The 25,268-nt window shown below is 38.3% G+C and overlaps 1 long non-coding RNA gene across 2 annotated transcripts in view, besides 1 other annotated feature; it reads left to right on the top strand.

The window, feature by feature from the left end:
• The window catches only part of NPSR1-AS1 (NPSR1 antisense RNA 1), a 487,820-nt gene that overhangs the window by 389,935 nt on the left and 72,617 nt on the right, over nucleotides 1-25,268 (top strand). The window lies entirely within an intron of this gene.
• Nucleotides 7,088-7,277: a silencer, noted in NCBI's record as "fragment chr7:34476732-34476921 (GRCh37/hg19 assembly coordinates)". NCBI's record gives its function as "represses an EF-1alpha promoter that drives an FKBP-Casp9 reporter gene in an ReSE screen in phorbol 12-myristate 13-acetate-treated (for megakaryocytic differentiation) K562 erythroleukemia cells {active_cell/tissue: K562(+PMA)}" and the evidence as "EXISTENCE:reporter gene assay evidence [ECO:0000049][PMID:32094911]".

Genomic DNA, 25,268 nt, shown 5'->3' with positions numbered 1-25,268 from the left:
AGGCTAAATCTTCGGACACAATGAATTCCTTTTGCTGAATCAGGCGCGTACAATTCTTTTTTTTTTTTTTTTTTTTTTTTTTTTTGAGACGGAGTCTCACTCTGTTGCCCAGGCTGGAATGCAGTGGCACAGTCTCGGCTCACTGCAACCTCCGCCTCCCATGTTCGAGCGATTCTCCTGCCTCAGCCTCCCGAGTAGCTGGGATTACAGGCGCTTACCACCACGCCTGGCTAATTTTTATATTTTTAGTAGAGACGGGGTTTCACCATGCTGGTCAAGCTGGCCTCGATCTCCTGACCTCGTGATCCACCTGCCTCGGCCTCCCAAAGTGCTGGGATTACAGACGGTACAATATTTTTGACTCTGCATTGGATCATGTGCCTCACGTCTATATTTGACATTGCTTCTGCCTTCTGTAATTTATAACTACACTTAGATAGATTTGATCTGGTTGTCATTTCAATCCTGGATAGTTCAACTAGTATATGAAAAGGTTCATTTGACTCTTTGCTATCTTACAAGACAAGTAGAGAAAAAAAAATTGCAGAGAGGAAAAGGCTTTCTTCTGAATCCCTTCTTCCTTTTGACTTAGAAGCCTTTGCATACTAGTTTAATTAATTGCAAATACCCCCAAACATGTCATCATTCATACATTCTTTGATCTAAAGAGTCATTCCTTCCTGGGCAGTAGTAGCACATCTGATAATGTCTTACTAGAAAAGGCTGAGAACCATAAGTGCTATTAGAGAAAATGTTGCTCATGCCATTGCTGTGGTGGTTTGAGGAATAAAGACATAAAGTAAAAATTATTAGAAGATCAGATTGGCATTTCAGAACTAAATTTTCTCCGACACCCCCATTTGCAACTTTAAAAACAGAACTGAAATATTTTGGTAACAATCTTGTGTCCTATTTTTATTTATGTTGCTGTTCTTTCCTCTAGTGTTTTGAGCTGAAAATTTAATTTATTTATTTGTCTTCTCTCATTTTTATTGAAAAATGTGTTTAGAGCAAGGAATTTTCATAAATCTGTCATTTCAGTTTGTGTTTTCCCTTTCATCCAGGAGATTTGTTTGTTTGTTTGTTTGTTTTTGAGGCAGAGTCTCACTCTGTCCCCCAGGTTGGAATGCAGTGGCCTGATCTCAGCTCACTGCAACCTCTACCTCCTGGGTTCAAGCAATTCTCATGGCTCAGCCTCCTGAGTAGCTAGGATTACAGGCATGTGCCACCACATCCGCCTAATTTTTGTATTTGTTTTAGTAGAGACAGGGTTTCACCATGTTAGCCAGTCTGATCTCGAACTCCTGGTCTTGGCCTCCTAAAGTGCTGGAATTACAGGTGTGAGCCACCATGCCTGGTCTACATCCAGGAGCTTTTAATAGAATTTTTTTTTTTAAGTTCTGGGATACATGTGCAGGTTTGTTACATAGGTATACACTTGCCATGGTGGTTTGCTGCACTCATCAACCCATCATCGACATTAGGTATTTCTCGTAATGCTATCTCCCTCCCCTAACCCCCCACCCCTCGACAGGCCCTGGTGTGTGATGTTCCTCTACCTGTGTCCATGTGTTCTCATTGTTCAGCTTCCACTTACGAGTAAGAATATGCGGTATTTGGTTTTATTTTTTTATTTTTTTTATTTATTTGAGACAAAGTTTCGCTCTTGTTGCCCAGGTTGGACTGCAATGGCAAGATCTCAGCTCACTGCAACCTCGGTCTCCCAGGTTCAAGTGATTCTCCTGCCTCAGCCTCCCAAGTAGCTGGGATTATAGGCATGCACCACCATGCCCGGATAATTTTTTTATTTTTGGTAGAGACGAGGTTTCTCCATGTTGGTCAGGCTGGTCTCAAACTCCTGACCTCAGATGATCCACCTGCCTCAGCTTCCCAAAGTGTTGGGATTACAGGCATGAGCCACGGCACCCGGCCGGTGTTTGGTTTTCTGTTCCTGTGTTAGTTTGCTGAGAATGATGGTTTCCAGCTTCATCCATGTCCCTGCAAAGGACATGAACTCATCCTTTTTTTATGGCTGCATAGTATTCCATGGTACATATGTGCTGCATTTTCTTTATCCAGTCTATGATTGATGGGCATTTGGGTTGGTTCCAAGTTTTTGCTATTGTGAACAGTGCTGCAATAAACATTGAGTGTGATGATTCCTCAAGGATCCAGAACCAAAAATACCATTTGACCCAGCAATCCCATTACTGGATATATACCCAAAGGATTATAAATCATTCTACTATAATAGGAATTGTTTTAAGGTCTAGATAGAAGAGACTTTCCTTTTGTTGCTACTTTTGTTTTTGTAGCAAATTATAGTTTTGTTGCCTTGTGACCAGAAGGTGTGCCTTACAATATTTCTGGTTTTTAAGAGTTACTGACATGTTCTTCATTTCCTAACACGTGATCCATGTCATGTGCACCTGAGAAGAATACATATACTCTATTATCATGTTGTACGGTTTGATGTACATCCACAAGATCTGCTCAATCGATTATGTTGTTTAAATTGTCTATCTCATTTTTTTGTCAACTTTATCTATCTTATACTGTGAGAGGTATATTAAAGTCTCCTATTATTAGTGTATTTCTAAGTAAGTCTCCTTGTCCTCCCTGTAGTTTTGTTTCATAAAGATGATTGCTATTTTATTTGTGCATATAGATAGCCACAGGTATTTTATCTTCACTGTGAACTGTAGCCTTTAGTGTTAGAAAAAAAAAAACACCTTCTTTGTCACATCTAATGTCTTTGGGATTTAATTATTTTTCTGACATTAGGATTGCTAACCTGCTCTTTTTGTTTCCATTTGCCTGGTATAAATGAGTCTGTTTCTTTATTTTTAGCTTTTCTGAATTACTTTGTGTCTCTTGAATACACCACAGAGTTGGGGTACATTTTGTGAACTAAATTGAGCATCTTATTCTTGTAATAGATAAGTTGATTTATTATGACCAATATGTGTCATCTTCACTATCAAAATATTTTATGATTATATGTATTTTATTTTGTATGCTTCTCTCTATATGTGTATTCTTTATAGACATGTGAATATAGATAGATGATGTAAATATATACTTTCCATATATTTCCTTTTTAATATAAATATTGTATATTTATGTGCTTATGTATTTTAGATATATATTCCAGTTTTTGGCATTTAGGAATATTTGTAATTTTGTTTTATTAACTAGTTTTGCATTTATAGTTTTTTACATGTCCTAATCCCCCCCTTATTTTTCTTATTTAACCTTTACTATTTGATATATCACGGTTTTTTTGTTTTGGTGTTTGGAATCTGTAAATACCACCGATTAACATATAACAATAACTTCATCTATTTCTTAGTTCCCTCTCCCTTCTATTTTTATTTATTATTTATTTATTTATTTATTTATTATTTTTTGAGACGGAGTCTTTCTCTGTCGCCTAGGCTGAAGTGCAGTGGCACGATCTCGGCTCACTGCAGGCTCTGCCCCCAGGTTAACACCATTCTCCTGCCTCAGCCTCCTGAGTAGCTGGGACTACAGGCACCCGTCACCATGCCCGGCTAATTTTTTTGTATTTTTAGTAGAGAAGGGGTTTCACCGTGTTAGCCAGGATGGTCTCGATCATCTGACCTCGTGATCTGCCCGCCTCGGCCTCCCAAAGTGCTGGGACTACAGGCATGAGCCACCGCGCCCGGCTCCCTCTCCCTTCTATTTTTAATGAATGCTTTATTTCTACTTTGTCATAATATATAACATTTGGATATTGTTTTTCTATACTTATTCCAAACTTTATTTTATTTATATATTTTATAATGCTTTATCTTATTTATATATTTTATAATGCTCACTGATATATAAACATGTATATACTTTATATATTATATATATTATAATATATATATATATATTTTATAATGCTCATATCAATGCTTTGTCTGAATTTTCCCCAGTCATCACTCTGTTGGATGAAGCTCATCTCTCCAGTAGATTAGGAAGGTCTACTTAGGAAGGAATGATTGTCTCAGTATTTCCTAAATTCTTGTATGTTAAAAACTATATATTGGTTGATGCGTGAAGGACAGTTTGGCTGTACATAAAATCCCCGGTTCACATTTTCTTTCACTGAGTTTTCTGAAAGTGCTGCTCCATTGTCTCCTTGCTTTACAAGTGGATGTTAAAAGGAATTAGTCTAATTCCTTTGTCTTTGTAAATTATCCATTTCCCGGAGGAAATGGATATTGAGGAAATTATCTGTATTTTTGGTAATTTGTCTAGAAGATGTCCAGAAGTTGGTCATTCAGCTTTAATCTTCTCAGGTACACAAGGAACCATTTCACTGTGTATGGAAAGTTTTTGTGAATAATAACTTCAGTTACTAGATAACTTCTCTTCCATTATTTTTCTTCTTTATGTATTCTGATAATATGAATATTACTGCTTCTCTAGCAGTTGTCCATTTCTATGACTTTCTCTTTGACTTTTTTCTAAAACTCTCTTCTCTATGTTATGTCTTTTTCCTTGATTGCCTTTCACCTTTCTTCAATACCTTTTATTAAATTTTCCTTTATGATATATAGAGAGAGTGACATGTCTCACTATGTTGCCCAGGCTGATCTTGAAACTTTAGGCTCAAGCAATCCACGTTCCTAGGCCTCTCAAAGTGCTAAGATTCAAGTCATGAGCCACCACACCTGGCCATTCAAATCTATTATCTCTTGGCTACTTGCAATTTATTTCTTCATTTCTCAGAAAATTGTCTTTTTCTTCCACTTCTTTCCTGAGTTAGTCAACTCTTTTATATTTCTCTCTTCTTCTTTGTCCATTTCTGCTTTTAGATTTAATCTTTCTTTCTTTCTTTTTTTTTTTTTTTTTTTGAGATGGAGTCTTGCTCTATCACCCAGGTGGAGTACAGTGATGCGATCTCGGCTCACTGCAACCTCTGCCTCCCGGGTTCAAGCAATTCTCCTGCCTCAGCCTCCCAAGTAGCTGGGATTACAGGTGTGCACAACCAAGCCCAGCCAGTTTTTGTACTTTTTTTTTTTTTTCAGTAGAGATAGGATTTCACCATGTTGGTCAGGCTGGTCTTGAACTCCTGACCTCACCTACCTCAGCCTCCCGAAGTCCTGGGATTAAAGGCATGAGCCACTGCACCCAGCCTAGAATTTCTGATTCAAGGTGATCTTTTATTTTCACTAATGACTCATTATATTTGATTCTATTTGATCATCAACTTAGAGTTACAGTCTGTTTTATGATTATTATTTTGCTTGTATTTTCATTACTTGATATGTGTAAAATTTTGCTTCCTGATTTTTTTTGCATTAGTTCTCCATGTGCTTTCATGTCTGATATAAATTTATAGTTTTCTTCTATTTCTTTCCTGAGCTCAATTAACTTCCCTTTTATTTATTCTTGTTGTCTTTCCATTCCTGTTCTTAGTTCTTGTTTTTCTGAGTCTAAGTAATTTTTCCCATACACAAACTTTTTTGTGCAGTTTGGAGTGTTATACCTTTTTGTCAGCTTCATGAATGCTTTTATGAAAAGGCTTTTAATCAGCAGAGACTTCTATTTACTGATTTTTTGTAGTAGTTTTACATGAGTGCAGTCTGATTTTTTTTCTATTCCTACTCATATTTTTGACAGTGTGGAATGTTTAAAATCACATTATTCTGTCACTTATGCTCCCCTCTGTGTAGTTTCTTTAATGGATGGAAGGGACAGTGAGCAGAAGACCAGTCAGGTGTCTTGTTTTGCTTTCATTTTCTCAAGTTCCTTAATTTTCACCTCTTGTTTCATTCGTTCCTTTCACTGTATTGTCTCTCAAACATACTACACCTTCGCCACGTATCTAGTTCTTCCTCAGAAGCAATGCTTCTCTGAGGCTTCTCTTCTTCAATCCCACACCAAAGAGCCCAGGGAGTGGATGATAAGGGAAAGAATCACCAAAGGTCTGTGGCTAGGATTAGCATGTAAAAAGTCTGTGGATAATGCTGTGCCAGTAGTGTTAGCAGAAGACACATTATGTTAGAGGCTTCTCAGAGATGATCACAGGAATTGATAAAAAGGAAATTGTTGGAAATTGATACTAGAACTTTGCAACATGCCTAACGCTATTCTGCTATACATGAAAGCTACTACCCAACACATTCATATGCTGCACTGCGTTTGCCTAGGATTTGAGATCATGTTTTTCTTTAACATCTCATATTCTAAAACAGTTTGTTTGATGTCTTTGCTCTATAAGCATGTAATATGGGTTAAATGTATCCCAATGAATAGAAATCTGAATAGTTCCAGCTCCACCAAACATGCAGGTATGGGTAATTCAAAATTAGATGCAGTAAAGAATCCCAAATATATTATTATTTCTATATTGCTATTTAGAAAAATTCACCTTTTCTTTAACTTAGAATAAAAAAAAGAGCTACTATGGGACTTGAAAAAGTGAAATATTGAATTGTGAGAGTCATTCCTTTTTTTCTTTTTCTTTTTTTTTTTTTTTTTGAGACAGAGTCTTGCTCTGTCACCCAGGCTGGAGTGCAGTGGCATGAACTCAGCTCACCGTAACCTCCGCCTCCCAGGTTCAAGTGATTCTCCTGCCTCAGCCTCCTGAGTAGCTAGGACTACAGACATGCACCACCACCCCTGGTTAATTTTTTGTATTTTTAGTAGAGATGGGATTTCACCATGTTGGCCAGGCTGGTCTTGAACTCCTGACCTCAAGCGGTCCACCTGCCTCGGCCTCCCAAAGTGCTGGGATTATAGGCATGAGCCACCATGCCCGGCTGAGTCATTCTTTCATTAATAAATATTCTTGAGTTTTGCACAGCAGGCATTGTATCAAGAACTGCATGAACAGTGGTGAATATAGCAAACACAGCAGAAAACAGAGGTATCTGGCTTAGGAAACATTGCTATTGAAGCTGTGCATTAATTTTCTTTTTTTTTCTTTTTTTTTTAATTATGCTTTTAAGTCCTAGGGTATATGTGCACAAAGTGCAGGTTTGTTGCATAGGTATACATGTGCCATGTTGGTTTGCTGCACCCATTAACTCATCATTTACATTAGGTACTTCTCCTAATGCTATCCCTTCCCCTGCCCTCCCACAACCCAATGACAGGCCCCAGGGTGTGATGTTCCCCGCTCTGTGTCCAAGTGTTCTCATTGTTCAATTCTCACCTATGAGTGAGAACATGCGGTGTTTGGTTTTCTGTCCTTGTGATAGTTTGCTCAGAATGTGGTTTCCAGCGCATCCATGTCCCTGCAAAGGACATGAACTCATCCTTTTTTATGGCTGCATAGTATTCCATGATGTATATGTTCCATGTTTTCTTAATACAGTCTATCATTGATGGACATTTGGGTTGGTTCCAAGTCTCTGCTATTGTGAATAGTGCTGCAATAAACATACATGTGCATGTGTCTTTATAGTAGCATGATTTATAATCCTTTGGGTATATACCAGTAATAAGATTGCTGGGTCAAATAGTATTTCTAGTTCTAGATCCTTGAGGAATCGCCACACTGTGTTCCACAATGGTTGAACTAATGTACACTCCCACCAACAGTGTAAAAGTGTTCCTATTTCTCCACATCCTCTCCAGCATCTGTTTCCTGACTTTTTAATTATCACCATTCTAACTGGTGTGAGATGGTATCTCATTGTGGTTTTGATTTACATTTCTCTGATGATCAGTGATGATGAGCATTTTTTCTTGTGTCTATTGGCTGCATAAATGTCTTCTTTTGAGAAGTGTCTGTTGGTTTCCTTTGCCCATTTTTGGGGGGGTTGTTTTTTTTCTTGTAAATTTGTTTGAGTTCTTTGTAGATTCTAGATATTAGCCCTTTGTCACATGGGTAGATTGCAAAAACTTTCTCCCATTCTGTAGGTTGCCTGTTCACTCTGATGGTAGTTTCTTTTGTTGTGCAGAAGCTCTTTAGTTTAATTAGATCCCATTTGTCTATTTTGCCTTTTGTTGCCATTGCTTTTGGTGTTATAGTCATAAAGTCTTTGCCCATGCCTGTGTCCTGAAAGGTATTGCCTAGGTTTTCTTCTAGGGTTTTTATGGCTTTAGGTCTAACATTTAAGTCTTAATCCATCTTGAATTAATTTTTGTATAAGGTGTAAGGAAGGGATCCAGTTTCAGCTTTCTACATATGGCTAGCCAGTTTTCCCAGCACCATTTATTAAATAGAGAATCCTTTCCCCATTGCTTGTTTTTGTCAGGTTTGTCAAAGATCAGATGGTTGTAGATGTGTGGTGTTATTTCTGAGGCCTCTGTTCTGTTCCATTGGTCTATATCTCTGTTTTGGTACCAGTACCATGCTGTTTTGATTACTGTAGCCTTGTAGTATAGTTTGAAGTCGGGTAGCGTGATGCCTCCAGCTTTGTTCTTTTTGCTTAGGATTGTCTTGGATATGGGGGCTCTTTTTTGGTTCCATATGAAATTTAAAGTAGTTTTTTCCAATTCTGTGAAGAAAGTCATTGGTAGCTTGATGGGGATGGCATTGAATCCATAAATTACCTTGGGCAGTATGGCCATTTCACAATATTGATTCTTCCAATCCATGAGAACGGAATGTTCTTCCATTTGTTTGTGTCCTCTTTTTTTTCATTAGGCAGTGGTTTGTAGTTCTCCTTGAAGAGGTCCTTCACATCCCTTGTAAGTTGGATTCCTAGGTATTTTATTCTCTTTGAAGCAATTGTGAATGGGAATTCACTCATGATTTGGCTTTCTGGTTGTCTGTTATTGGTGTATAGGAATGCTTGTGATTTTTGTGCATTGATTTTGTATCCTGAGACTTTGCTGAAGTTGCTTATCAGCTTAAGGAGATTTTGGGCTGAGACGATATACAATCATGTCATCTGCAAACAGGGACAATTTGACTTCCTCATTTCCTCATTGAATACCCTTTATTTCTTTCTCTTGCCCAATTGCCCTGGCCAGAATTTACAACACTATGTTGAATAGGAGTGGTGAGAGGGCATCCCTGTCTTGTGCCAGTTTTCAAAGGGAATGCTTCCAGTTTTTGCCCATTCAGTATTGGTTGTGGGTTTGTCATAAATAGCTCTTATTATTTTGAGATATGTTCCATCAGTACCTATTTTATTGAGAGTTTTTAGCATGAAGTGTTGTTGAATTTTGTCAAAGGCCTTTTCTGCATGTATTGAGATAATCATGTGGTTTTTGTTGTTGGTTCTGTTTATATACTGGATTACGTTTATTGATTTACGTGTTTTGAACCAGCCTTGCATCCCAGGGATGAAGCCCACTTGATCATGGTGGATAAGCTTTTTGATGTGCTGCTGGATTCGGTTTGCCAGGATTTTATTGAGGATTTTTGCATCAATGTTCATCAGGGATATTGGTCTAAAATTCTCTTTTTTTGTTGTGTCTCTGCCAGGCTTTGGTGTCAGGATGATGCTGGCCTCATAAAATGAGTTAGGGAGGATTCCCTCTTTTTCTATTGATTGGAATAGTTTCAGAAGGAATTGTACCAGCTCCTCCTTGTACCTCTGGTAGAATTCGGCTGTGAATCCTTCTGGTCCTGGACTTTTTTTGGTTGGTAAACTATTAATTAAATTATTGCCTCAATTTCAGAGCCTGTTATTGGTCTATTCAGAGATTCAACTTCTTCTTTGTTTAGTCTTGGGAGGGTGTATGTGTTGAGGAATTTATCCATTTCTTCTAGATTTTCTAGTTTATTTGCGTAGAGGAGTTTATAGTATTCTCTGATGGTAGTTTGTATTTCTGTGGGATCCATGGTCATATCCCCTTTATCATTTTTTATTGCGTCTATTTGATTCTTCTCTCTTTTCTTCTTTGTTAGTCTTGCTAATGGTCTGTCCATTTTGTTGATCTTTTCAAAAAACCAGCTCCTGGATTCATTGATTTCTTTAAGGGTTTTTCGTGTCTCTATCTCCTTCAGTTCTGCTCTGATCTTAGTTATTTCTTGCCTTCTGCTAGCTTTTGAATGTGTTTGCTCTTGCTTGTCTAGTTCTTTTAATTGTGATGTTAGTGTGTCGATTTTAGATCTTTCCTGCTATCTCTTGTGGGCATTTAGTGCTATAAATTTTCCTCTACACACTGCTTTAAATGTGTCCCAGAGATTCTGGTACGTTGTGTCTTCATTCTCATTGGTTTCAAAGAACATCTTTATTTCTGCCTTTATTTTGTTATTTACCCAGTAGTCACTCAGGAGCAGGTTGTTCAGTTTCCATGTAGTTGTGTGGTTTTGAGTGAGTTTCTTAATCCTGAGTTCTAATTTGATTACACTGTGGTCTGAGAAACTGTTTGCTGTCATTGCTGTTCTTTTACATTTGCTGAGGAGTGCTTTACTTCCAACTATGTGGTCAATTTTGGAATAAGTGCGATATGGTGATGAGAAGAATGTATATTCTGTTGATTTTGGGTGGAGAGTTCTGTAGATGTCTATTAGGTCAGTTTGGTCCAGAGCTGAGTTCAAGTCCTGGATATCCTCGTTAAACTTCTGTCTCGTTGATCTGTCTGATATTGACAGTGGGGTGTTAAAGTCTCCCATTATTATTGTGCGGGAGTCTAAGTCTCTTTGTAGGTCTCTAAGGACTTGCTTTATGAATCTGGGTGCTCCTGTATTGGGTGCATATATGTTTAGGATAGTTAGCTCTTCTTGTTGAATTGATCCCTTTACCGTTATGCAATGGCCCCCTTTGTCTCTTTTGATCTTTCCTGGTTTAAAGTCTGTTTTATCAGAGACTAGAATTGCCTTTTTTGCTTTCCATTTGCTTGGTAGATCTTCCTCCATCCCTTTCTTTTTAGCCTATGTGTGTCTTTGCACTTGAGTTGGTCTCCTGAATACAGCTCACTGATCGGTCTTGACTCTATCCAATTTGCCAGCCTGTGTCTTTTAATTGGGGCATTTAGCCCATTTACATTTAAGGTTATTATTTTTATGTGTGAATTTGATGCTGTCATTATGATGGTAGTTGGTTATTTTGCCCATTAGTTGATGCAGTTTCTTCCTAGCATCGATGGTCTTTACAATTTGGCATGTTTTTGCAGTGGCTGGTACCGGTTATTCCTTTCCATGTTTAGTGCTTCCTTCAGGAGCTCTTGCAAGGCAGGCCTGGTGGTGACAAAATCTCTCAGCATTTGCTTGTCTGTAAAGGATTTTATTTCTCCTTCACTTATGGAGCTTAGTTTGGCTGGAATGAAATTCTTGGTTGAAAATTATTTTCTTTAAGAATGTTGAATATTGGCCCCCACTCTCTTCTGGCTTGTAGGGTTTCTGCAGAGAAATCCACTGTTAGTCTGATGGGCTTCCCTTTTTGGGTAACCCGACCTTTCTCTCTGGCTGCCTTTAACATTTTTTCCTTCATTTCAACGTTGGTGAACTTGACGATTATGTGTCTTGGGGTTGCTCTTCTCAAGGAGTATCTTTGTGGTGTTCTCTGTATTTCCTGTATTTGAATGTTTGCCTGCCTTGCTAGGTTGGGGAAGTTCTTCTGGATAATACCCTGAAGAGTGTTTTCCAACTTGGTTCCATTCTCCCCGTCACTTTCAGGTACACCAATCAAATGTAGATTTAGTCTTTTCACATAGTCCCATATTCCCATATTTCTTGGAGGCTTTGTTTGTTTTTTTTTCTGTTTTTTCTCTAAACTTCTCTTCTCTCTTTATTTCATTCATTTGATCTTCAATCAGTGATACCCTTTCTTCCATTTGATGGAATTGGCTATTGAAGCTTGTGCATGCGTCACACAGTTCTCGTGCCATGGTTTTCAGCTCCATCAGGTCATTTCAGGTCTTTTCTACACTGTTTATTCTTGTTAGCCATTCATCTCATCTTTTTTCAAGGTTTTTAGCTTCCCTGCGATAGGTTCGAACATCCTCCTTTAGCTCAGAGAAGTTTGTTAAACTTCAGAAGTTTGTCTGAAGCCTACTTCTGTTAGCTTGTCAAAGTCATTCTCCATCCAGCTTTGTTCTGTTGCTGGCGGGGAGCTGTGATCCTTTGGAGGAGTAGAGGTGCTCTGGTTTTTAGAATTTTCAGTTTTTCTGCTCTGGTTTCTCCCCATCTTTGCGGTTTTATCTACCTTTGGTCATTGATGTTGGTGACCTAGAGATAGGGTTTTGATGTGGATGTGCTTTTTGTTGATGTTGATGTTATTCCTTTCTGTTTGTTAGTTTTCCTTCTAACTGTCAGATCCCTCAGCTGCAGGTCTGTTGGAGTTTGCTGCAGGTCTACTCCAGACCCTGTTTGCCTAGGTACCACCAGTGGAGGTTGTAGAACAGCAAATATTGCTGCCTGCTCCTTCCTCTGGAAGCTTTGTCCCAGAGGGGCACCCACCTGTATGAGGTGTCAGTTGGCCCCTACTGGGAGGTGTCTCCCAGTTAGGCTACACGGGGGTCAGGGACCCACCTGAGGAGGCAGTCTTTCCATTCTCTCAGATCAAACACCATGCTGGGAGAACCACTGCTCTCTTCAGAGCTGTTAGACAGGGACTTTCACGTCTGCAGAAGTTTCTGCTGCCTTTTATTCAGCTATGCCCTGCCCCCAGATGTGGAGACTATGGAGGCAGCCAGCCTTACTGAGCTGCGGTGGGCTCCGCCCAGTTTGAGCTTCCCTGGCCACTTTGTTTACCTACTGAAGCCTCAGCAATGGTGGACACCCCTTCCCCTGCCAGGCTGCTGCCTCACAGGTCAATATCAGACTGCTGCACTAGCAGTGAGCAAGGCTCCTTGGGCATGGGATCCGCCGAGCCATGTGCAGGATATAATCTCCTGGTGTGCCATTTGCTAAGACCATTGGAAAAGCACAGTATTTGGGTGGGAGTGTCCCATATTTCCAGGTACCATCTGTCACAGCTTCCCTTGGCTAGGAAAGGGAAATACCCCAACCCCTTGCACTTCCCAGGTGAGGCGATGCCCCGCCCTGCTTCGGCTTGCCTTCTGTGGGCTGCACCCACTGTCCAACCAGTCCCAGTGAGATGAACCAGGTACCTCAGTTGGAAATGCAGAAATCACCCATCTTCTGCATCGTTCACACTGGGAGCTGCAGACTAGCGCTGTTCCTCTTCAGCCATCTTGGAACAGAATCCCCGAAGCTGTGCATTAATTTTCAAATTTATAACACAAACATGATACTACAGAACTCTTCATCTTCCCTATTCTGATTCTTAATGGCTGTCAAGGAAGTTTCCTTAATGCCCTTTAGGACTCGTAAATACTGCTCTTAAAAAGGACTGCAATAGTCCACAGATGAACCACAACCCTCGTGTGCATTCTTTCCCACAAACTACCATTTGTAGTTCTTCAATTTTGTTCATATGCTGAGAGGATCTAAAACCACACTTAGATTGCAGTCCCTATGTGCACCTCTGTATTCTACCTTTGGTCCCACCACTTTTTTTTCCTTTGTGCCATCATTTATTCTCTTCAAATCACAGTGCTGTCTTCTCAGAAAAACGGGTTTGGACCATGGCATCTCTCATGCTCCTTCTAGGGCATTTACCCCTGGGCAAAGTGCCCTGACTCCTTCCTGGGAGCATCACACTTTGTGTAGCCTGAGCCCTCAACCATCATCATTATATTCCTCACCGGGGCAGAATAGCTTGGCAAAGGGAAATGTTTCATCTAAGATTGCACAATGCTCGTTCAGTAACTTGGCAGTGTCTCAACATGGAAGGTTCCCAGGCATCTTAAGAGAGCATTTCTCTCAGCTCAAATATTTGAGATTTCTGGTGTTATCTCTTTCTGATTGTTTCTTCCCTTAGAGTCATTTTCTTCTGTGCTGCTTTCCCTCTGTCCATCAAGAGTAAGAGAAATACAAGAGACAGTTCTGTCTTCCCGCAGTGTCCCTGGCTGAGTAGCACCTCCCTCCAGCAGGGGGTGCCTCTGTGTAATTTTTGTAACACCTGATGACTGATGTACAATTGTTCATGTTATCGTTGCTTCTGGAAGGCATAAGAAAAAAGTTCCTTTCTAGAGCATTGGTTTCCTCCCTAGGTTTTCTTCTGCTCTCAATCACAAGACCCAGTCATCCTTGGAAGTAAAACAGATAAAATTCCTGCATTACAGAACATTTTAAATGGGTATATATTAGGAGTCATTTTCTTTCATTTTAGGGCTGATATTTCTAAAGAAATCACTGGTTTTTCTAATAATCATTCCCATTCCATTGCTTTTTGCCACCAGGCACATAAAGCCTTGACAATACAGGTGTGTTTTAATATAACTTATAAATAATAAATAGAGACTCCCAAATCTCTGTCCAATTCTATTAATAAAACATATGACTAGTTCTCAGAAAGTTGCACATTTAATGAGGGGTCCACACACTTTATTCTCAAAAGTCTTTTTTCTAGATTTGAACAACCATTCTTCTCCTGCAATTTTGGTGAGCAGGAAATTACAGCCAAACCTCTCTGTCTTCATCCATTTGTGCTTCTAAGAAAAAACACCACAGACTAAGTAATTTATAAGAATAAAAATTTATTCTTAATGGCTCTGGAGTCTGAGAATTCCAAGATCAGGGTGCCAGTAGGACGGGTGTCTGATTAGGGCTGCCCTCTGTTTCCAACATGGTGCTTTGTTGCTGATCCTCCAGAGAGGACCAACACTGTGTCGTCACGTGGCAGAGAGGGCAGAATGGCCAAAGAGTTTCCTTTAAACTCAACCCCTTTTGTAATGGGGTGAAGCCCTCATGACTTAATCACCACCTGAGGCCACCTCTTAATACTGTTGCATTGAGATTCAGTTTCAATGTGCATTTTGGAGGGGATACCATCATTCAAATCATAGCACTCCCATTCTGCTGATGATATATTTAAAAGCATTTTGCTGTTTGGGGAGTAAGGCACTATTTCTGAGGACTCCTAGGAGTCTTTATGTTCTAATGGAGGGTTTAGGTCTCCTTCTAGCCAGATTCTATCCATTGTAAAATCATCAATACAGCAGAACACCCAAATGCAGATAAAAGCATCATCATTCATGAAGACCCAGTAGCTCCTAAACATATGGTTTCTTGGGTAATATTCAAATGGAGAACACCCAGGAACATGAAGGATATTTCCTACATTCTTCTCCTAAGTTTAGACCAGACACAGAACTTTGTGCAAACATGAAGAAAAGCTTGAGTATAAACAGACGCAGAGTCCACTTATTCAGTTAGGTGTGCTGAGGATCACAGTCTGTGCTAAAATATCAGGACCCAGCAGAATGGAGAGGGCCAAAAAAAAGAGAGCTCTATGTTATCTTTTTTATATCATGAACCAGCCCTCAGGTAAGCCTGGCCAAATGGATGTCAAAGTCTCATTAACTTCATGCATCAGATAAGTCATTCCTACCTTGGAGAAGAGCAAATGTGGATAGCTCAGTATTTTAGAAGCATCACCTTTAAAATTCTCCATGTTTAAGGGGAAGAGAAAAACACATCTTATAAAGATAAAAAGATTAAATGTTTCCCACTAATATGCTTCTGTGAGTTGCTTAAGGTGAGTACAAAGCATGAACATTGAATGCTCAGAACCATAGGTATAAATTGGAACTTCTTGAAATAAATCAGTTGCAGAGTGGCATCACAGCAAACCTTAAACCAACAGCAAAACACAGAAAAATAATCAAATATTTAGCTCTGCTCTTGAGAATTGTATTAGGGTTCTCTAAAGGGACAGAATTCATAGGATAAATGAATATATTGTGGGGGGAGTTTATTAGGAGAATTGACCACACGGTCACAAGGTGAAGTCCCACAATAGGCTATCTGCAAGCTGAGTTGCTGGGAAGCCAGTCTGAGCCCCAGAAACCTCAAAAGTAAGGAAGCCGATAGTGCAGCCTTCAGGCTGTGACCAAAGACCCAAGAGTCCCTGGCAAACCACTGGTGTAGGTACAAGAGTCCAAAAGCTGAAGAACTTGGAGTCTGATGTTCAAGGGCAGGAAGAATCCAGCACAGGAGAAAGATGCAGGCCACAAGACTCAGTTAGTCTAGTCCTTCCACATTCCTTTGCCTGGTTTTATCATAGCTGTGCTGGCAGCTGATTAGATGGTACCCACGCAGACCAAGTGTGGGTCTGCCTCTCCTAGTCCACTGACTCAAATGTTAGTCTCCTTTGGCAACACCCTCACAGGCACACCCAGGAACAATACTTTGCATCCTTCAATCCAATCAAGTTGACACTTAGGATTAAACATCAAGTTGACACTTAGTGTTAAGGAGTATCCACGGATGGACTACTTGCGTTGTATTGTATGCCCCAGACCCCCCAACCCCTGACCCCCACCATGGGAAGAGGGAACAGACACAGTTCCTATTCCTCTAAACCACATTAAGTTTGGTTCACCTATGGGGCATATTTTGTTTTGTTTTCTTTTAAAATATCCTTTGGACAACTTTATGCTTCCATCTATCACCCTGAATCCTAGGTGAGCAGACAACCCTCAACAGGATCACGCCTCCTCCTCACTTAAATCCCAGGCTAATGTGTGTGTGTGTATATATATATATATATATATATATATATACATATATATATATATATATATACACACACACATATATATATATATATATATGTATCTTGAGTAACTATCTTACTTTATGTCCCTTGAATACCTGTAAATAAATACATCATCTAGAATTAGAAGGACCCAGTTAGACTTCTAAGTCTATGGCTTTGCTAATTCAGAGTGTTTGTCTCTGACTACTGCAAGGGCAATGGCGGAACACTTCTTTTAGATGAATCAGAACTACTTTTTCCTTTTTCTAATTAAGACTCATAGAAGTGTAGACATACATAGGCAGTCACCAACATTAACAGGTTAACCTGAAAAGAAGCCATACCAAGACCCATCTGAAACAGAAAGGAATCCTTTAAATATTTAAAATAAATATTTATATATGTGAATATTTAAAGACCATGTTGCCCCCAAATTAGGAGCAAATGGTGAATTACTAACATACTGACTTTCAATTCTATTGAAGCTACTTTTCCAATGAAATGTTTAAAGGGTACTGTTGGAGTGTTAGAAATAGCTATTCTGATTGGCATGTGTTTGCCCACACGATGGCCTTTCCCATGTGCCAGTATTGGCTGGAGACAGAGGTTGGCTGCAGCAGGCTGGATTCCCCCTCCGCCCTCATTCCAAGCCAAAATAAAATTTATATATATACCCATATACATACATACATATATAAAAATATTTATTTATTTATATTTATGTGTTGTCATGGTAACCAGATTTGGAGGACTCTACAGTGGAGGGCAGAAGGCTAAAACATGCCAAACAAAGAAGAAAATGTATCCATAACAACAAGGGTGATTCCAGAGATAATCATGTGGGGGCTCAAATAAAATCTGATTCAGGTATGAGTGCATTTTCATTTGATCTTATTCCTGCTATTGCCTGCCCCAGGAATTCCTTTACCAGCATCAAGGCTCTGAAAAGCTAAGAAAATTGGTCTTGACTCCCACTTGCTAACCTTTGTCCTGGGGGCCCATAGCTCAGTTGTAAAGCACCTGATTCCTTTATCAAGCAAGTTGTCTGCATCGAAATTCTGAACTAGATTGACCCTGGCTGGAGTCTTCAAGACCTTTCAAACATTTCTACTCAGGACATTTCAAGTATTTGTACAGAAATGAAAACACAGATAATTTGATTCAGAAGTTTGAGCTTTTAAGTCACATGTATGCTAAACATTTCCAAATGGGAAAGTGTAGCTGGTGACTATACTGGCTTATTTGATCCAAAAATGTTTATGAAAAAATAAAGAACTTAAATTTAAAACATCAATAATTATAGGACTCTTCCTCTAGTTTTCCTTGTTAACTGATGGGCTAATTAGCAGAAATGGCCATCCACTGCAGGATAAATCTGTATTTGCTCAGAATACCATGCACGTTTATTTCTGCATCTCCTCTTTCCCCTTGAGTTGCAAGTTTCATTGAGACCCAAGAGAAGAGACCACTGGACAAGTGTTAGCAAAGTCTAGAATTCTATCAATCTACAAATATTTGCTCATCACTTACTATGCATAAGACTGATGCTAGGTAGGCAGCTGGGGATAGAGATGTGAGGAATCTCAATCTTTTCCTATTGTAAGGATGCATCTTATTTACCACCTAAATTTTCCTAAAAAGTACTTACACTTTTGGCTCAAAGATTCTGCAAAAACAGTACAACAGAGACCCTATTCTTCCCCGTTGCAACATTGACCCCAGAGTTTAGGAAATGAGGAAAGAACAAAGAAGGAGGGTCAAGGCTGAAGATAAAATTCCTTATGCTCAATCAACATACTGAAAAATAGGTTCTTTGCTTTTTTTCCCTGTTCTCCATCTTGCAAAATGAATCCCCAGTGACATTTCAAGCCTTCAATTACAATTAAAGTTCTTGAAAACAAAATTCTGACAAAGTCAATGAGAATAAAACATCTCCCTCTGTGTCCCTCTCTCTCTCTTTTTTTTCCACTTAAATTTCCTATCAGAGTGTCCACTTCAAAGGTTTTGTCAGTGTAAATTAAAAAGACTGCTGTGTGCTATGAGCTTTAGTTCTGGAACTACGCAATACCAACAAAAGGAAATGAATTAATCAGAGCACTATGCTATGGGAGTCTGAGCTGGATACTTCAAATTTATTTCCCAGTCCTTGTTCAGCTGTGGGGAAAAACAGAAGGACTGTTTACTTTTTGCCAAAGTTGTCTTGATAGTTTGTTTTGGCAAGTATTAGGAAACTGCAAAAGTTCCTTAGGAAATTACAATTAGGAAATTGCAAAAATTACATTAACATGTAAGAGATAAAAAATTGCCAAGTCTCAAACATGTGCATATGAAAGTGCCTGAGTCAAGACACTACACCCTAGAAGCCTAACCCGACCTGTGCCTGTGATTTTGTGGCGTGAACCAGATCAATTGCAAGCCCATCCCAAAGGAGACCCAGGGTCCTCTCCTTGACCAATTGAATAATGCCCTTCAGAATGCTGCCTTATTGGAGGGAAACTTCCTTTGTTTACCCTGTGTCTAGCCCTTCCACTTTTAATCAGAGTGACTCACTGACCTTACTCTAGAGTGAACACTCTCTCCATTTCCAGGTGTTACAGGCTGAATTGTACTCTCCCCTACCCCCAGATAAAACCATGTGTTGAAATCCTAACCCCCCATATCCCAGAATGTGACTGTATTTGGAGAGAGGATCTTTAAAGAGACAACTAAGTGAGAATGAGGCACAGAGGGAAGACCATGTGAAGATACACGGATAAGATAGCTATCTACAAGCTAAGAAGAGAGACACGAGAAGAAACTGATCCTACCTGAATCTTGGACTCCCAGCCTCCTGAATGTGAGAAAATAAAATTCTGGTGTTTCAGCCACCCAGTCTATGGTACTTTGTTTAGGAGCCCTACAAAACTAATATACCAGGCAAGCAATAAACTCAACTCTTTGTTGTTGTTTTATACTTTTCAGCTCTGTTGTTCTTTGTATTTTGATCGACAAATGTTACATTATATTTTGTTACAGACAGTACTAATATATAGGACTAACATTTATGAAACATTTATAGAATTTTTGAATAAATTAAAAGCATAGGGATGAAATATATGTGTCAAAACTTGATTCATGGCAAAGTATTAATATTGTGATGAGAAATAATAATGCAATGGTTATATCAGAAATAGAAACACTGACATGTTAAATGTAGGGAGAAGACGAACATAAGTATTAGTAAAAATCATCATCCTAAAACAAGTCACTATTTTAGTAGGGTTGAGAATAAGCATTGCCATAGGTTTTCCTTTTTAATATTATTTTATTTTGGATAACAACCTAACAAAGCAACATTTTTCAGTATATGTGTTGTTATACTTATTGCACATAGAAACACATGTGGGTATAAGGGTGAATGTGAACATTTGGTAAAGAGGAAAGGAATTAAAATCCAAAATTATATCATCCCAGAAATAAAATACATAACTTCTCAAAAACACACAAAGCAGAAGTTTTTAGCTTAAACTGTTTGGGTGAGTCTGTGGTTCTATGAAAAATGAATGCATATGTACATGAATGCAGATGAATGCAGATGACATATTTCTGAGGGAAGGATATAAATATTTTTGCAGCCTCTTAAATAAGAGCTGTTTCTGAAGAAGAGAAAGAATAATACACCTAGTAATTCTGACATTTACCAAATTCTATTTGTATTAAATACAAATATTTGTTAAATATTACATCACTAGATCTGGCTTGGGAAGCCCTGTATTTGTTGGAGGTCCAGGTGTGTATTTGTTTATCTACGTTTGTAGGATAAACTGTCATCTATCTGAGGTGTGGCCTTACCTAATGTTTCTGGGCATCTGTCAGATAACAAAATTATAACTTAAAGGCCATAATGCTATGAAATGTCATCTCATCCTATTATTAAAATTTTCAAAGGAGAAAAAGGGAGGATCGGAAAATGGGAGTGTTCAGGATAACACAACTGGAATGGCCATACTCCTACTTTCTCAATGTCTAGTAAAAGGCATTTTACCCCATGGCATTAAAGGGTTGAACAGCCTCCTTTTCTGCCTTCAGAGAATAAAGTGTGCTTTCACCCGACTCCCAAGGTGTGGTTACCACCTACAATCAAGCCCCCGTTCTCCCACTTGACATTTCTGAGGTCCCAGGCAAAGTGATTAACTTTCCTAAATAACCTATCTTCTCATATGTAAAATAAGGACAATCGTAATGTCTATCTTATAAGAGTTGTTCTGAGAATTCCAGGAGCTAGCAAACATAAAGCCTTGAGAAGACACCCTGCCCATAGTATGCGTTGTGAAAATGTGAGCTCACTCTTTCTCTTATTTCTACCTAGGTAAAGTCCCCACTGAAGTTGTCTTGAAGAGTGAAAGTAACCTTTACAAAGATTACATGAGCAGGACTTTGCCTGCTCTCTCCCATAATTCTGTTCCCTTCCCAAAACAATTCTATGATTGACACATGATCAAGGGACCCAACAGAGAGACTTTTATCAGGGAAGACCAAAGACACTGGTTGGCACATTTGCTATTTTTCCTGTGAGTTTTCTCTTCTTACCATTCTCAGTAGCCTTCCAATTTGACATAAAATGGAAACCTCATGTGACCTCTGTGAAATGGCATACTGAGCTGGATTATTACTGTTCACTTTGGACTTGGGAGAAATGATGGGAGTATGCTTTTCGTGATTTGGCTTGAAAAGAGACATTCTTTCATATGTTAAGACAATATTCTTAGATTCCTATTTTATTAAGAGTTTTTAAAAATTTTTGGAATGAATAATGAATTTTACCTAGTCTTTTTTTTTTTTAGTATCTACTAAGTTGATTGATAATTCAGGCTGTCACCTTTGATCCACTGATGGGATATCTAGGATAATGGATTTTCTAAAGTTTTAATCATGCTTGCATTACTTAACAAACCCTGAATTAGTCACTGATTTTTTTTCCTTTTTGTATACAGCTGAATTTAATGTACTAGTATTTTATTCCAAAATGTGGCATATATATTCATAAGCGAGATGGATCTTTGCCTGGGTTGTATTTCTCAGGTTTTGGGATGGGAGTTACGCTACAGATGCAAAATAAAACTATATTTTCCTGTGTTCTGGGCGGTTAAGTATCATGGAGATAATACATCCCTTAAAAATGTGAAAGTTCATCTGAAAAATGGTCTAAGTCTGGCATCTCTTTGGAAATAGTCCGTGAGCAACTTTTAAAATTGTATTACTAGCTTATTGATTGATAGAAGCTTCCTGCTCCTTCTTGAGTCAATTCTAGTCATTTCTATTCTCCCAGGAATTTATTCATTCATCCAGATTCCCAAAAACTTTAGCATAGAATTGGCACATGAAAACTTAATCTCCTCCAAATCTTAGGTTTATCTAATTTCTCATTTTCACGGCGATTATTTTTCTTTAAATTGCTATGCCACAGTTTTGTAAAAAAACAAAACAAAAGAAAAAAATTGATGAATTCAATTATTGATCCGTCTCTCATTTAAGGTAGAAATAATAATAACATGTATAGTTTGGCAGACATTAGACTGTATTAAAATTGTAATAATTTATGTAATTATGTATTCTGACTACATATACATATATGTACATATATATATAAAATCTTATATAAGAACCCATAAAATAATTTTGAAGATTTCAGGAGTAAATTTCAGGGAAAAACAAAATAAAAGGGAGGCAATAAAAATTGTGCTATAAGCAAATGTTATATGTTAGGGAAAATTTGAGATGTAAACATGCATTTATTGAATATTTATCATGTTTTGAAAACTTTCTAGGCACTTTCTGACATAAATATTTAAACATTGTTATGCTTTACCCACCATAGTGCTTTGCACATGTGCATTTAAAAAATAAAGTAAATTAATGAATGAAAAAACAAAAAGAGGGAAAGAATAGAATAGCCCTGCTAAGCACTGTAAGTACTTAAAGCTTTTCTCTCATGGAAAGCATTAATTCAGCAGCCAGACAAAAACATAAATCTTCCTTCTCAGGGTATATCTTAATTATTCTAAAATTTACAATTCAAGAATTTTTGCTGATGAAAAGAACACAGGATGAATTACTGCAAAAATATCTGTTATAATTTCAAAGCAACGTTTGTTACAGAAGTAAGTCTGGTAAAAATAGGATCCTGACATAAGTAGCTCTTGAGAAATATTCAGAAGCCTCTCTTCTGAATATGCACCAGCAGAAATGAACTGCACTGGAACTACCCTAGGTAAAGCCCTCCACACAAAATGAGGAAGCCACCAGTGATGCCAGACTCTTCCTTCCATGACCTGTGTTTTCACTTTAATTCCACATAGCTGTGAAGTCCATGATAGCAGAGAATATCAGAACTCCACTGGTAACTACTTGTAACCATGGATAAGCCATTATTCCCTCCTATAGCTCTGTTTCATTATTAAAAATTATAGGGGTTATACTATTCTGCCTATAATTTTCTTTCCAGTTCTAACATCAAATGAGTTTTTGAATCAAATTGCACATAACATTTCAGCTCTAATGCAGTGAGAGGTCTCTGTCAGGAAAATCCTCCAAGAAGCATTCCCCAAAACCCCCATTCAAAAATAACCTTGATATCCTCTGTCTTTCCATCATAATTATCATAATTATAACCCAGCAGCACTAAAGAGGTGGTGGGATGTTTCAAGCTTAATTGTAAGGAGTAAATACTTAAAAGATTTATACTGATTAAACTTGTCTCTAATTTGAAACATCTTTTCTAATCCCTTCCTTATCAAGGTATCTCCTATAGCCATAAGAACTCACTACCCACAGTTAGCAGTGGGAGCCTTTATCAAAAGAGGCTCAAGAGGAATGAAAAAAAAGCAAAATGAAATAGACCAAAGTAAAACAAAACAAATTCCTTAATTGAACAACCTCATTCAACAATCTATTCTGCTTCTTGTCGCCCTGAGAACCCTATGACATCTGGTACTTATGCTGGAGGTCTTGAATCATTTCTGGATGAACATGAATATCCTAAGCTATTTAGCAAGTGTGTGCATCCATGTGCACACCTGCACTCACACCCACAATACAGCTTAGTTCAACTTACATCCTCTCCTAGAGCCTCTATGCACATATCTTATACGCACACAAAGCATATAACAAAATGCCATCAACTTACATATCTGGGCTCAGTAATAGATGAACATTCTAACCTCTTATCATATGCTAAAGGAGAAAGAAGAACGTAAGACACATGGGTTTGAAACATCCATAAATCCAAACTTTTTTGCAACAAAATGGGGCATCTGTTAGAGTTCAGTCTATTTCTGTTTGAGCAGCCTCTTTTAGTCTTCTGTAGCAATTCTGAGTTGGGCTTTAGATGGACTCTATGTGGTATGGCCCAACAAAACAAACTTTCCTATTAACTTATTACCTACTTTTGCATATGATATTACTAAATTCTTCTCATAGATTTCTCATAAGTGCCTCTGATATATACAGCCCATGACTGATCCCCTCATGTGATTTTTTACTCTAATAGTGCCTGGCACCTAGTTCATATTCAAATAATGTTACTTGACTAGAATGAATACACTTTAACTTGTGACATTCATTGTTTCTTAATAATTTAGTAGATGCATTTTTCCTTCTCATTTATAAGTTTCCCCCCCAGCAAGTTAGTAACATATTACCTAAACATATTTTAGGTAGTATGTTGTTGAGAAGGTGGAAGTTCTTGCGGTAAATCCGTTTTCAATAGAAGTTATCCTTTGTAAAATGAATGTATGATTTATTCTACAATTTTGTATTTTTACATCTTTGGATTCTTTAACATGAGAGTATATAACCATAGCTGAAGTTACCTGTCACATAAACAGATTTGTGTTGCTCCATTGTCATCCCAGCGTCTACATGTTGAATGTAAGGGATGCCAGTAAAGTGGGTAGCTGGGAATCAGCCACATGCATTACGTTGTCTCCTGAAAGGTCGAGCAGCACCATTTAAATTTCAGTGAGCAATTTTCACCTTATCTATGGAAGTATGCTGAGATGGTGTATTAGTCTGTTTCCACACTGCTGATAAAGACATAACCAAGACTGGGTAATTTATAAAGAAAAAGAATTTTAATGGACTCACACGTGGCTGGGGAGGCCTCACAATCATGGCAGAAGGCAAGGGAAGAACAAAGGCACGTCTTATATGGCAGCAGGCACAAAGAGAATGAGAGCCAAGTGAAAAGGGAAACCCCTTACAAACATCATCAGGTCTTGTGAGACTCACTCACTACCACGAGAACAGTATGGGGGAAACTGCCCCCATGATTCAATTATCTCCCACCAGGTCCCTCCCATAACACATGGGAATTATGGGAGCTACAATTCAAGACAAGATTTGGGTGGGGACACAGCCAAACCATATCAGACAGTAATTTGGTGGGACTAAAGTCACAATCATTATTGCCTTTAAGTAATGAATAATATATAATACATTTCAGCCTTCCAAGATGTTAGAGCATTTTATTTTTATTTTAATCAGTGCAGAGTGCAGTTAGAAAATCTGTCAAAATTATTTTATTGACTATGATTATATAGTGAACAACTCAAATTATTGCAGCATTTAGAAAGAAAAAACAGGAGGTATAAAGGGATGAATAGCAGTTTATAAAACATAGAAGGGCAGCATGACCTCAGCAAGTACATGCAAATGTTTTCAATCCTGCATTTTATACCAGGAAATCAAGAGTTATGCATTATGTTTTTATATATTGTGTATTATGTTTTATGTATTAATTCTTTGAACAAAACCAATGAT

This window comes from Homo sapiens, chromosome 7 (assembly GCF_000001405.40).
Source record: "Homo sapiens chromosome 7, GRCh38.p14 Primary Assembly".
Classification (NCBI taxonomy): domain Eukaryota; kingdom Metazoa; phylum Chordata; class Mammalia; order Primates; family Hominidae; genus Homo; species Homo sapiens.
The sequence above is the reverse complement of the archived record's forward strand: the minus strand, read 5'-3'. Positions and strand labels throughout refer to the sequence as shown.